Here is a 13,856-nt window from a genome sequence, read left to right on the forward strand (position 1 = left end):
CATGTACAATTTATTTTTATGTATTTATCTAGAGACAGGTCTCGCTCTGTCATCCAGGCTGGAATGCAGTGGCGTGATCATAGCTCACTATAACCTTGAACTCCTGGGATCAAGTGATCTTCCCACTTCCATCTGCTGAATAGCCAGGACTATAGGCACACACCGCCTTGCCCAGCTAACTTAATTTTATTTTTAATTTTGTAGAGAATGGGGTCTCTCTATTTTGCCCAGGCTGGTGGTCTCAAACTCCTGGCCTCAAATGATCCTCCTGCCTTGGCCTCTTAAAGTGCTGAGCTTACAGGCATAAGCCACTGCTCCATATGCAGTTTAGAATCAGTTTGTTGATACCTACAAAATAACTTGTTGGGATTTCAGTTGGGATTGTGTTGAATCTATAGATCAAGTTGTTCGCAAGAACTGACATCTTAACGATATTGAGTCTCTGCATTTATTTAGTGCTGCTTTGATTTCTTTCAACAGAGTTTTGTAGTTTTTTCATGCAGACCTTAAACATTTTTAAAAGATTTATACCTAAATATTTCATATGTAGGGTACGAATATAAATAGTATTATGGTTTTTAAAATTTTTTTCTTTTTTATTTTTTTGAGTCTCACTCTGTCACCCAGGCTAGAGTGCAGTGGTGCGATCTCGGCTCACTGCAAGCTCCACCTCCCGGGTTCACGCCATTCTCCTGCCTCAGCCTCCCGAGTAGCTGGGACTACAGACGCCTGCCACCACACCTGGCTAATGTTTTGTATTTTTCATAGAGATGGGGTTTCACCATGTTAGCCAGGATGGTCTCAATCTCCTGACCTCGTGATCCACCTGCCTCAGCCTCCCAAAGTGCTGGGATTACAGGCGTGAGCCACTGTGCCCAGCCAATAGTATTATGTTTTAAATTTAAAAGTCCACTGTTTTTTGCTGATATATGAGAAATAAATTGATGTTTGCATATGAACCTTGTATCCTACAACATTGGTATAATAACTTATTAGTTCCAGATATTTTTTATTAATTCATTCCAATTTTCTACATCGATGACAATTTCATCTGTGAACAAAGGCGGTTTTATTTCTTCTTTCCCAGTTTGTGTATCTTTTCTTTGCTTTTTGCATTAGCTAGGACTTACGGTATGATGTTGAAAAGCAGTGGTGAGAAGGGACATCATTACCTTGCTCCCGATCTTTGTATAAAGTCTCTAGTTTCTCACCACTAACTGTGATGTTAGCTGTAGGTGGTTTTTTAAATCAAGTTGAGCAAGTTCCCCTCTATTCGTAGTTTACTGAGAGTTATTATCATTCCAAATGGGTATTGTACTTCGTCAAATACATCTATTTGACATCTATTTTTCTGTGTCTATTGATATAATCATGTGATTTTTCTTTTCTTTTTTTGAGACAGGGTATCACTCTGTCACACCAGCTGGAGTGCAGTGGTACAAACACAGCTCACTGCAGCCTCCACCTCCTAGGCCATGTGATCTTTCTTATTTAGCCTGTTAATGTGATAGATTACATAAATTGATTTTCAAATATTGAACCAACCTTTCATACCTGAGATAAATCTCACTTAGTCATGGTGTATAATTTCTTCTATGGATTGTTAGATTCAATTTGCTAATATTTGTTGGTGTAAAAGTCATTGTGGTTTTTGCCATTGAAAGTAATGGCAAATGACTTTTGCACCAACCTAAGGATTTTGCTAAGGATTATTGCATCTATATTTATGAGAGATATTGCTCTGTAGTTGTATTAGTCTGAATTCTCTAGGGAGATACTGGGAGAACCCACCCCCAATATTTCAACGTAAGTTCTATTTTCCATAAGTGTCAGCTGGCTGAGAAATAAAGAGAGACAGTACAAAGAGAGGAATTTTACAGCTGGGCCGCCAGGGGTGACATCACATATCAGCAGGACCATGATGCCTGCCTGAGTCTCAGACCAGCAAGTTTTTATTAAGGGTTTCAAAAGGGGAGGGAGTGTAAGAACAGAGAGTAGATACAAAGATCACATGCTTCAAAGGGCAAAAAGCAGAACCACTGATAAGGGTCTAACAAAGATCACATGCTTCTGAGGGAACAGGGCAAAGGGCAAAAGCAGAACCACTGATAAGGGTCCAACAAAGATCACAGGGCAAAGGGCAAAAGCAGAACCACTGATAATGGTCTATGTTCAGCGGTGCACATATTGTCTTGATAAACATCTTAAACAACAGAAAACAGGGTTCAAGAGCAGAGAACCAGTCTGACCACGGATTTACCAGGGCTGAGTTTTCCCAACCCTAGCAAGCCTGAGGGTTCTGCAGGAGACTAGGACTTATCTCAATCCTTACCTCAACTGCACAAGACAGACATTCCCAGAACGGCCGTTTATAGACCTCCCCCCAGGAGCGCATTCCTTTCCCAGGGTATTAATATTAATATTCCTTGCTAGGAAAAGAATTTAGCGATATGTTTCCTACTTGCACATCCATTTATAGGCTCTCTGCAAGAAGAAAAATGTGGCTCTTTTAGCCCAACCCCACAGGCAGTCAGACCTTATGGTTGTCTTCCCTTGTTCCATAAAAATCGCTATTATTCTGTTCTTTTTCAAGGTGCACTGATTTCATATTTTTCAACTACACATGTTTTACAATCAATTTGTACAGTTAGCACAATTATCACAGTGGTCCTGAGGTGACATACATCTTCAGCCTACGAAGATAACAGGATTAAGAGATTAAAGACAGGCATAAGAAATTATAAAAGTGTTATTTGAGAACTGATAAATGTCCATATTAAGATGAAATCTTCACAATTTATGTTCCTCTGCCGCAGCTCCAGCTGGTCCCTCCATTCAGGGTCCCTGACTTCCCATAACAGGGAGACAGTGCCAATGGGATATATATAGAGAGATATACGAAAGAGATTTATTAGAGGAATTGGCTCACACAATTATGGAGGCTGAAAAGTCCAATAACAGGCCATCTGCAAGCTGGAGACCCTGGAATGTCAATGGCATAACTCAGTCCAAGGCCGAAGGCCTGAGAACCCAGGGGGCTGCTGGTGCAAGTCCTGGAGTCCACAGGCCAGGGAGTTCTAACACGCAAGGGCAGGAGAGGAAGGGTATATCCCAGCTCCTGCAGATAAATCAACACACTTGCTTTTTCTGTTTTCGTTCTCTCTTGTCTCTTGGCTTATTAGATGGTGCCTGCCCACATTGTGAGGGTGGCTCATCTTTACCTAGTGCACTTAGACTCACACACTCATCTCCTCATGCTGATCACAAGCACATCCAAAAGTAACATTTTACCAGGTTTCTACAGTGTTCCTTAATCCATTCAAGTTGACACCTAAAATTAATCCTCACAGTAGTTTTCTTTTCTTGTAATGTCTTTGTCTGTTTCAGTATTGGGGTAATGCTGCCCTCATGGAATGAGTTAAGAAGTATTCCCTCTGTTTCTGTCTTCTGGAAGACATAGTAGAGAATTGGTATAATTTATTTCTGAATGTTTGGTAGAATTCACCAATGAACCCACCTGGACTGGGTGATCTCTGTTTTAAAATATTTTGAATTATTGATTCAATTTCTCTAATACATATAGGCCTCTTCAGATTGTCTGTTTTTCTTGTGTGAGTTTTAGTAAATTCTGTCTTTTAAGAAATTGGTTATCATTTTCTTTTTTTTTTCCTTTGAGATGGAGTTTCGCTCTTGTTGCCCAGGCTGGAGTGCAATGGTGCGATCTTGGCTCACTGCAACCTCTGCCTCCCTGGTTCAAGCAATTCTCCTGCCTCAGCCTCCTGAGTAGCTGGAATTACAGGTGCCCACCACCACGCCTGGCTAATTTTTGTATTTTTAGTAGAGATGGGGTTTCACCATGTTGGCCAGGCTGGTCTCAAACTCCTGACCTCAGGTGATCCACCTGTCTCAGCCTCCCAAAGTGCTGGGATTACAGGCGTGAGTCACTGTGCCCGGACATCAGTTTCTTAAATTGACATCTAGGTTATCAAATTTTGGGGCATAAAGTTGTTTATAATATTCCTTTATTATTCTTTCGGTGTCCATGGGATCTGTAGTTATGTGCCCTCTTTCATTGCTCATGTCAGTAATATGTGTCTTCTCTATTTTTTTTTCTTAGCCTGGCTAGAGGCTTATTGATTTTTCTTGATCTTTTCAAAGAACCAGAATTTAGTTTCATTTTTCTCTATTGATCTCCTGCTTTACATTTCATTGATTTCTATTCTAGTGTTTATTATTTCTGTCATTCTTCTTACTTTGGAATTAAGTTGCTCTTCTTTTTCTAGTTTCTTGAAGTAAAACTTTAGACTACTGATCTTATATCTTAATTCTTTTGTACATTTCTCTTGAGATTTCTTTTCTGACCCATTTGTTATTTAAAACTGTGCAGTTTTATTTCCAAGTATTTTGGGTATTTCTTGCTAAATTTATGTTATTGATTTTTAGTTTAATTCTACTGTGGTCTGAGAGCAGATATTGTATTATTTCTACTCTTTTAAATCTGTTAAGTTGTGTTTTATGGCTCACAGTGTGTTTTGTCATGGTAAATGTTCCATGTGAGCTTGAGAAGAGTCTGTACTTTGCTGTTATTAGATGAAGTAGTCTATAGATGTCCCTTGTATACAGTTGATTGATGGTGCTACTGAATTCAACTATGTCCTTACTGATTTTCTGCATTCTGGATTTTATCCATTACTGATAGAGGGGTGTTGAAGTTTACAGTTATAATAGTGGATACATCTGTTTCTCTTTGCAGTTCTGTCCATTTTTGCCTCATGTATTTTGATGTTCCATTGTTGGCACAATGCACATTAAGGATTTTTATTTCTTGTTGAATTAACCCCTTTATCATTTTGTGACCCACTTTTTAATCCTGATAACTTTCCTTGGTCTAAAGTCAGCTCTGTCTGAAATTTATGTAGCTATTCTTGCTTTCTCTTAATGACTATGTTAGTCTGTTTTCATGCTGTTAATAAAGACATACCTGAGACTGGGTAATTTATAAAGGAAAGAGGTTTAATGGACTCACAGTTCCACATGGCTGGGGAGGCTTCACAATCATGGCAGAAGGCAAATGAGGAGCAAAGGCATGTCTTACATGGTAGCAGACAAGAGTTTGTGCAGAGGAGCTTCCATTTATAAAACCATCAGATTTCATGAGACTTATTCACTACCATGAGAACAGTATGTGGGAAACCACTCCCATGATTCAATTATCTCCACCTGGCTCCACCTTTGATACATGGGGATTACTACAATTCAAGGTGAAATTTGGGTGGAGACACAGCCAAACCATATCAGTTACTATTAGGATGGTATGTCCATCCATTTACTACACAATCTACATGTGTCTTTATAAAGTGGGTTTCTTGTAGACAACATATAGTTGAGTCATGTTTTTTATCTACTGTAATGATCTCTTGTTTCGAATTGATATATTTATACCATTGACTTTTAAAGTGATTATTGATATAGTTGGATTATTATCTATCATATTTGTTACTTTTTTCTACTTGCTGCCTTTGTTCGTAGTTCCTGTTTTTGTCTTCCAGTCTTTTTCTGAGTTTTGGTGTTTTAATTGAACATTTTATGTGATTTTGTCACATGATTTTGTCTGAAAGTATCTTATTTCTCTGCTTTTGAAGGTTAATTTTGTAGGATGTTTATATGGTTTGGCTCTGTGTTCCCACCCAAATCTCATGTTGAGTTGTGTGGCCTGGTGGGAGGTGATTGGATCATGTGGATGGTTTCTAACAGTTTAGCACCATCCCTCTAGTGTTGTGTCATGATAGAGTTCTCATGAGATCTGGTTGTTTAAAAGCGTGTAGCACTTCCCACTTAGCTCTCTCCATCTTCTGCCACCATGTGAAGATGTGCTTGCTTCCCCTTTGCCCTTCTGCCGTGATTCTAAGTTTCCTGAGGCTTCCCAGCCATGCTTCTTGTACAGCCTGTGGAACTGTGAGTCAGTTAAACCCCTTTTCTTCATAAATTACCCAGCTTCAGGTAGTTCTTTATAGCAGTGTGAGAATGGACTAATACAGACGCACAATGCTAGGCTGGTACTTTTTTCCTCTCAACACTTTAAATATTTCACATCACTGTCTTATTGTTTACATGATTTCTGAGAAGTCAGATATCTTTCTTATCTTTGCTCCTCTATAGATAAGATGTTTTTTCCCTCTGGCTTCTTTCAGGATTTTTTCTTTATCTTTGCTTTTCTGTAATTTGAATATGATTTGCCTACATGTAGATTTTTTTATTTTTTATTTTCGTTTTTGGCAGTTAACCTGATTGGTGTTCTCTGAGCTTCCTGGGTCTGTGGTTTAGTGTCTGATATTAATCTGGGGAAATTCTCAGTCATTATTGCCTCAGATATTGCTTCTATTCTTTCTCCTTCTGGTATTCCCATTGTACATATTTATAACTTTTGTAGTCCACTGTTTGTTGATTTTTTTCTTTTTTTCAGTCTTTTTTCTCTTTGCTTTTCAGTTTTGGGCATTTCTATTGTCATATTCTCAAGCTCAGGGATTCCTTCCTCAGCCATGTCCAATCTACTAATGAATCCATTAAAGTGATTCTTCATTTCTGTTAGTGTTTTTTAATCTCAGGCATTTCTTTTTTTATTCTTTCTTAGAATTTCCATCTCCCTGCTTAGATTACCCATCTGTTCTTGCATGTTGGCTGTTGTTTTTTTTTTCAGTAGAGCCTGTGGCATATTCATCATATTTATTTTAAATTGCTAGTCTGATAATTACAACATCCCTGCCATATCTGACTCTGGTTCTTCTGGGAGGTTTTTTGAGACAAAGTCTCCCTCTGTCACCTCCCTCTGTCACTGCTGGAGTGCAGTGGTGTGATAACAGCTCACTGCAACCTCCGCCTCCTGGGTTCCAGCATTTCTCGTGCCTCAGCCTCCCAAGTAGCTGGGACTATAGGCGTGTGCCACCAAGCCTGGCCAATTTTTGTATTTTTAGTAAAGACAGGGTTTTGCCATGTTGGCCAGGCTGGTCTTGAACTCCTGGCCTTAAGCTCCTTAGCCTCCCTAAGTGCTGGGATTACAGCCATGAGCCACCGCACCTGGCCTAACTCTGGTTCTGATGCCTGCTCTGTTTTCAAACTCAATTTTTTACCTTTTAGTATACCTTGTAATTTTTTGTTGGAAGTTGGACTCGATGTACTAAGTAAAGGAACAGCAGTAAAAAGGCATTTAATTGAAATGTGGTGGGAGGGAATGTGTTCTATTGTCTTTAGGGATCTTTAGGGAGCCTGTGTTTATGGACTGTGAACTTTACAAGTGCTTCTCAGCCCCCAACCCCACTCAGGCGGGACAGAATGGGGCTAGAGTTGGGTATTTCCCTTCCCCCAGGTCAGTTAAGCTTTGATAAAACCCCAATAGGTAAAAATAGTTTCTCTGGAGGAGAGGCCTGCTAAAGACCAGAATGCTTTGTTTCCTTTCCCTCTTCCTCTGGCAGAAGCATGGGAGGATTTTTTTCTCCAGTCTTCATTGTGAGAACCTGGTAGAACTCCTAGAGGTAAAACCTACAAAAGTGCGGGTGCCTCCATCTAAGACTGGGTCCCTCTGGAGTTGTTTTTTGTTTGTTTGTTTGTTTTGTTTTGTTTTTTCTGTTTGTTTTGAGACGGAGTCTCACTCTCATGCCAGGCTGGAGTGCAGTGGTGCGATCTCGGCTCACTGCAATCTCCACCTCCCGGGTTCAAGCAATTCTCCTGTCTCGGCCTCCCAAGTAGCTGGGACTACAGGCACCCGCCCCCTCGCCCAGCTAATTTTTTGTATTTTTAGTAGAGATGGGGTTTCACCGTGTTAGCCAGGATGGTCTCGATCTCTTGACCTCGTGATCTGCCTGCCTCGGCCTCCCAAAGTGCTGGGATTACAGGCGTGAGCCACCACGCCTGGCCCAGTTTTAATTTTTTATTTTGCATATAAGTTCAAAGCCTTCCAAAGTGTTTGTTTATGATTTATTTTCTTGTTAAAATCTGTTCTTGTTCATTGCCTGTTTATAAGTGTTGTCTTGATGTTTATTTTTTGCATGTACATTTTAATTTGTCAATCTGTTTCTTCTTTTATTTCAACTGTTCCAAATTTTAGAAAGTTGTTTCAAGTATCTGATACCTAATTCTAATTTATGCTAGCTTTTCTAACATTTGATATTCAACTTCTGATTTTGAGTTTATTTTTGTGTATGGCCTAAGATGCTATTATTCCTGTTGTTATTCATCCATCCCAGTATCATATTCAATCAACCTCCCCCACCACCACCACTATTTTGAGTGTGGTTGCATTAAAAAGCATGTGGGCTTTTGGTCAGAATAGATTTGGGTGAAATCCTGGCTATGGGTAGCAGTCTCCTTCTACTTTAAGAGTAACTTCTTCACAAAAGGAGCTAGATGATCCTCTGCTTTGCCTCTAATGCTGAGGAATGTTGCACCTACAACTATCATGGAAGACGCTGAAACCTCCATTACCCAATCCTGTACTCCCAGCACCCTCAGGGAGCCCCACCTCTGGAGGACTCAGACACTCATGCCAGGTAAAGCTGTAGGACAGAGGCCAGGCATGGTGGCTCACAGCTGTAATCCCAGCACTTTAGGTGAGAGGATTGCTTCAGGCCTGGAGTCGAGACTAGCCTGAGTCACATAGCAAGACCCCATCTCTACAAAAAATTAAAAAATTAGTCACACATGGTAGCATGCACCTGTAGTCCCAGCTACTTGAGAGGCTGTTGGGGAGGGATCACTTGAGCCTAGGAGTTTGAGGCTGCTGTGAGCTATGTATGATCATGCCACTGTACTCCAGCCTGGGCAACAGAGCAAGACCCTGTCTCAAAAAAAAAAAAAAAGAAAAGAAAAGAAAAAGAAGCTATAGGACATAGGGGAGCTAGTCATATGTCTGTCCTACTGAGACTCTAGATGGCACAAGGCAATGGCACTTGTGTTAGAACCAGAATGCAGCTATGGCTGACTTGGAACCGTCTGTCAGAGGAAAAAAGGCATGCAAATAGTTACTCATTTGACCAAAGCAGAAGAAAACCAAAATGTCCAATGCCTCCAGGAAGAAAGGCAAAGATAGAGATACTAATCATTTCTCTACACATCTGCCATGCCATGGGTGAAGAAGACAGCCAAGTTGGTGAACAGATCTGGAAAGGTTACCATCATTCTTGATTGAGCTCTGCCCTCCAACCGAACACCCCTGAGCAGCCACGGCATGCCGGCTCACCGTGCTTCCCACCACGCATGGATCAAGAGCACCTCCACAGGTTCTCAGAAGCTACGGCACCAGGACCCATTTGCCTGCTTTTTGCTGTTCCTCTTAAGACAGGGTCCTGCAATCACAGCTCACCGCAACCCCTGCCTCCCAGGCTCAAGTGATGCTCCCATCTCATCCTTCCGAGTAGCTAGGACTACAAGTGCATGCCACCATGCCCAGCTAATTAAAAAAATTTTTTTTTGGTAGAGACAGTGTTTCTCCATGTTGCCCAGGCTAGTTTCAACCTCCTGGGCTCAAGCAATCCTCCTGCCTCACCCTCCCAAAGTGTTGGGATTACAGGCATTAGTTACTGTGCCTGGCCTCTCTTGGTAATTTTGACTATGCCACTCCTAAATATATGCCTCTTGGCCTCTGCATGAGAGAAGGTGGCCTTTGATGTGTTATTTCCAGCACTGTGGTTTACTTTAGCTTTTTAAATTGTTTCTTTCATAATTTCTACTATCATCCAGCGTCAGTGTTTCTAGCCTATCCTATTAAGGGTTATTCTTTTGTTTTGTTTTGTTTTGTTTTTTGAGATGGAGTTTCGCTCTTATTGCCCAGGCTGGAGTGCAATGGCACGATCTCGGCTCACTGCAATCTCTGCCTCCGAGGTTCAAGCTATTCTCTTGCTTCAGCCTCCCAAGTAGCTGGGATTACAGTGCCTGCCACCACGCCTGGCTAATTTTTTGTGCTTTTAGTAGAGTTGGGGTTTCACCATGTTGGCTAGGCTGGTCTTGAACTCCTGACCTCAGGTGATCTACCCACCTTGGCCTCCCAAAGTGCTGGGATTACAGGCATGAGCCACCATGCCCAGCCCCAAGGGTTATTCTTTTGATTTGGGGAACAGGGTTCCTTGGCCCTATTACCCACCACATTGTTCTCCACTCTTTGCATCCTGAGCATCTCCATCTGCATTTTTCACTCCTGAGTACTGGCAGAGATGAGCACAAGGGTAATGGGACTTGATGTAGTGACATTGTATCCACCACATGCTTAGAGAGGTTACATCCACCACAAGCTTAGAGATTCTGTATCCACCACAGGCTTAGAGAGGTTGTATCCATCATACAGTTATGTTGCATCCACCATACATCTAGAGATGTTGTGTGCACTATACAATCAGCAATATTGTGTCCATCATACATTTAATAATCACAAAGCCATTACATGGCCCACATTTCTGAGCACATCTTCCCTGAAAATTTTGACACGTAGTTCTAGGACATCACATTTTCCATGCACTGGTTCTTTTTCTTCTGGATGTCAAGCCCTCAGGTCCACATTATCTAGAAGGTGTTCTTTAAGGTAGTCCAAGAAGGAAATGGGTAAGAAATTTCCCAAAGGCTTTTAAAAGCAATACCTTGCTGACACTCATTGAAACTCATTTCAGAGAATTTGACGATGGTTTTTGGAAGCCATAAGCATTCCAGAAGAACAGAGTAGCTAGAAGTGCCCCCACCATTCATGTGTCCCAGGACTGACTGACAGTGGAAAAGCTTTATGTGTGTGTATTTTCCTTGCTGCCTGGTCAAGGTCTCCAATCAATAGTTTAAGACTTTTTCACAGTTCATTTTCGACCACCGAAGATTTCCTTTAACTTTCCTGCAAACTCAAATATGCATTTAAAAATAATCTGTTTCATTTTTGCAGGATATGGTTGAAACATTTTTCAGATTATCTAGTCTACCATATTGCCCCCCACCTTTTTTTAAATCAGGAATTTTATTTAAGTAAAAACCAATAACAACCTGGTTCTTCAATGGTATTCCTGCCATAGCTAAGACAAGCACTGAGTCCTTTAACTGACCTGCATCAAATTGTTTAGGGGAGATTTTTCCTTCTAGTTTGAGTGTTTAATGCTTTCTTTGCTGCTTATTTTCATTAAATATGGTAGAAATACTTTGAAATCTGCCCAGATTCCATCAGCCCTATTGGAGAGGCACCTGAGAAATGAAGATGATGTTTCTGACTCATAACTTTCTTTGACATAAGGGAACAATAGGAGTCAGAATATAGGATATACATTCCTCTATCTTCTACTCAATTGGTTCTCCAAGTGTGACTCAGACCAGGAGCATCAGCATCACCTTGGAATTTGCCATAAAATGCAGATTCTCAGACCCTATTCCATACCTACTCAATCAAAACTTCCAGGCATGGGCTCCAGAGATCTGTGTGTTCAAGCCTTCAGGTGACTCTGATGGCGTGCTTACATTTGAGACCCTCTGCTCTGGTCTGATCACCCAGAATCTCCCTTGGGAGAGCTACCTTGAAATTTCTGCTTATTTCCCCTGCAGCGTATTGAAGACTCCACGGTGGTTGTTTTGTTTTGTTTTGAGATGGAATCTCACTCTGTCACCCAGGCTGGAGTGCAATGGTGCGATTTGGGCTCACTGCAACCTCCGCCGCCCGAGTTCAAGCGATTCTCCTGCCTCAGCCTCCCGGAGTAGCTGGGATTACAGACACGTGCCACCATGCCCGGCAAACTTTTTGTATTTTTAGTACAGACAGGGTTTCACCTCCGCAGTGGTCATTAAAGCTTGACCACTAAATTGCCCTGGTTCTTCAACATGCACTAGGCAGGCTGGACCAGAAGCCAGGAGACCTGGCTCCCAGTCTCATTATCATTACTAACCAGTCCTGGAGTTTTCCCTCACCATGAAGATGGAATTTTTACCATCTGCTTTCTCTGCTTTGTGTGGCAGGAAGATAAAAAAATAATAATAATGGATATTCAAACGGTTTATATTGCATGTAAAATGCAATGTGGCATTGATTGTAGATCCCTTAATTCAGACAGATTTCCCCACGCAGACGCTGTGTGTCACAGGGGGAATGGGCAGCGTCACTTTTTACATCCAGTCATATTGTATGAAATTGCAACAAATTCAAAAAGATGCCATCGTGGGAGTGTGGTGAGTAAAAAACAGCTTTCATGAAACTCAAATCTTGAAAGTCAGATGCTTTCTGGGTCTTGTTTAACTGTAAAAGAGATAGATGAAGTATTAGAAATGGAGAAGGAAAGGGGGGAAAAGCCATCCATTTACTGCTTAAGAATGGCTCTGCTATTGCGATACCTAAGGTCACATGCGTAGCCACTTGGGTTAATGATACTCAGTTTGTCCACGGAGTGGCAGTAGCAACTGTCTGAGAATCAGTCTCAGCCGGGGTTCCTTCTGTCTATAGAAAGTGAAAGACAGACTGTTATTCAAATTCCATGTGCAAAAAAGCCTTCTTACATTAAATACCTGGGCATTTCAGGAAGAAGTTTTATTTGACTTAAACTGTGAAGGCAGTTTCTCATTTGAGGAAAAGAAAGATATAACGTGTTTCAGTTGAAATGTCAAGATCCTTTGATTGCACATTTGGTTTCCTAGGATAAATTATTCTAGCCAATGGAGCAGAAACTGGCTAATCAAAGGCACAGTGCACAGTTACACTTCTGTATATCATTCTCTTTTTTTAAAATAATAGCTGGAATTTTTTTTGAAAGTGAAATTACAATTTACCACCTCAACTCAGAGGACATATTAGCTTGATAACTTATTCACAGTTGCTGGTGAGTTCAGGCTTAAATCATCAGCTGTCACTCACAAGTGTTTACCCTTGAACTTTCCGAATGAGACATCAAACGTCTTGGTAGTGGGTGGGTTTAAACAAAGCTGCCCACGCGAGAACCATTGTGGAGCTTCTTGTTCCAGGGGCCGGTCACGGACAAGCTCATGACCAGCACACTCAGATGTGACAATCAGATAACAAGAGGCAAGAGAAGACTTTCTGGGAAATAAAAGATCATTTTTGTGATTTCTTTAAATTCAGATCATATAAATTAGGTGAAGATAGACATTATTTCTCCTGTTTATGTAAAAGAATTTAGACAATGAAGTCACGAAATTCATGAGAATAATTTAAAGACTGTTGGAACTTCCCAATGTTTTTCTTGGCATTCAGTCACTACACATAGAAATGTATACTATGCCGGTTCCTAATGACTTAGCAGTTCCCTCAGGCTTTGTTCCACAGGATGTGACATCTCCTCTGCCAACTTTTCCTGCCTCCTTTCCTAATCATAGGATTGCTATTCTCCCTGACAAGTAAAGAATGACAAGATATTTTATTAAAAAGATGTTTTATTTATCTTTTAAAGATTTTTTAATGTATGTATCTGCCTCTGAAATTATTAAGAATGCCTTAATAATAATCCCTCTCATTTTATTTCAGAAGACACTATTGTAATAGCATGGCTAGGAAGGAAACACAGCTAATTATTAAGATGAATCATTTAGCAAGGTGGGGAAAAATCCCTTGTGTGTAAAAATATCTAGTGATTGACATATTACCAAATTTACATGAAATAGATTTCCATGTAATTGAGACTGATTTTTCCTATTAGATGGAAAGAACCTTCCTGATCAGGACTGGTGTTGGGGGAATGTTTTCCTTATGAAATCAGAAGCAGAGCTTCTGTAGGGCCGTCCAAGATCAGGATGCTTACTTCAAGATGCCACTCTGCATCTCTCCCCACCTGCCAAGTGTTTCCTGTCTCCCAGATGCTTTCTATTGGCTTATTGTAAGGACTTTGACTTCTGCGCTA

The 13,856-nt window shown here is 40.8% G+C and overlaps 1 protein-coding gene across 41 annotated transcripts in view; it reads left to right on the forward strand.

The window, feature by feature from the left end:
* Nucleotides 1-13,856, forward strand: part of BTD (biotinidase) — a 121,156-nt gene that overhangs the window by 16,583 nt on the left and 90,717 nt on the right. For 7 of the 41 annotated variants that reach the window (NM_001407373.1, NM_001407370.1, NM_001407394.1 and 4 more), the window contains one exon: nucleotides 12,059-12,177. The exons of 25 other annotated variants lie outside the window; for them this stretch is intronic. The gene's annotated coding sequence lies outside the window, so the exon portion shown is untranslated. Of the gene's footprint in view, nucleotides 1-5,841; nucleotides 5,956-12,058; nucleotides 12,178-13,483; nucleotides 13,553-13,856 lie in introns of those variants that run through there. 9 more of the 41 variants (NM_001407369.1, NM_001407378.1, NM_001407368.1 and 6 more) reach the window with 4 other exon arrangements.

This window comes from Homo sapiens, chromosome 3 (assembly GCF_000001405.40).
Source record: "Homo sapiens chromosome 3, GRCh38.p14 Primary Assembly".
Lineage (NCBI taxonomy): Eukaryota > Metazoa > Chordata > Mammalia > Primates > Hominidae > Homo > Homo sapiens.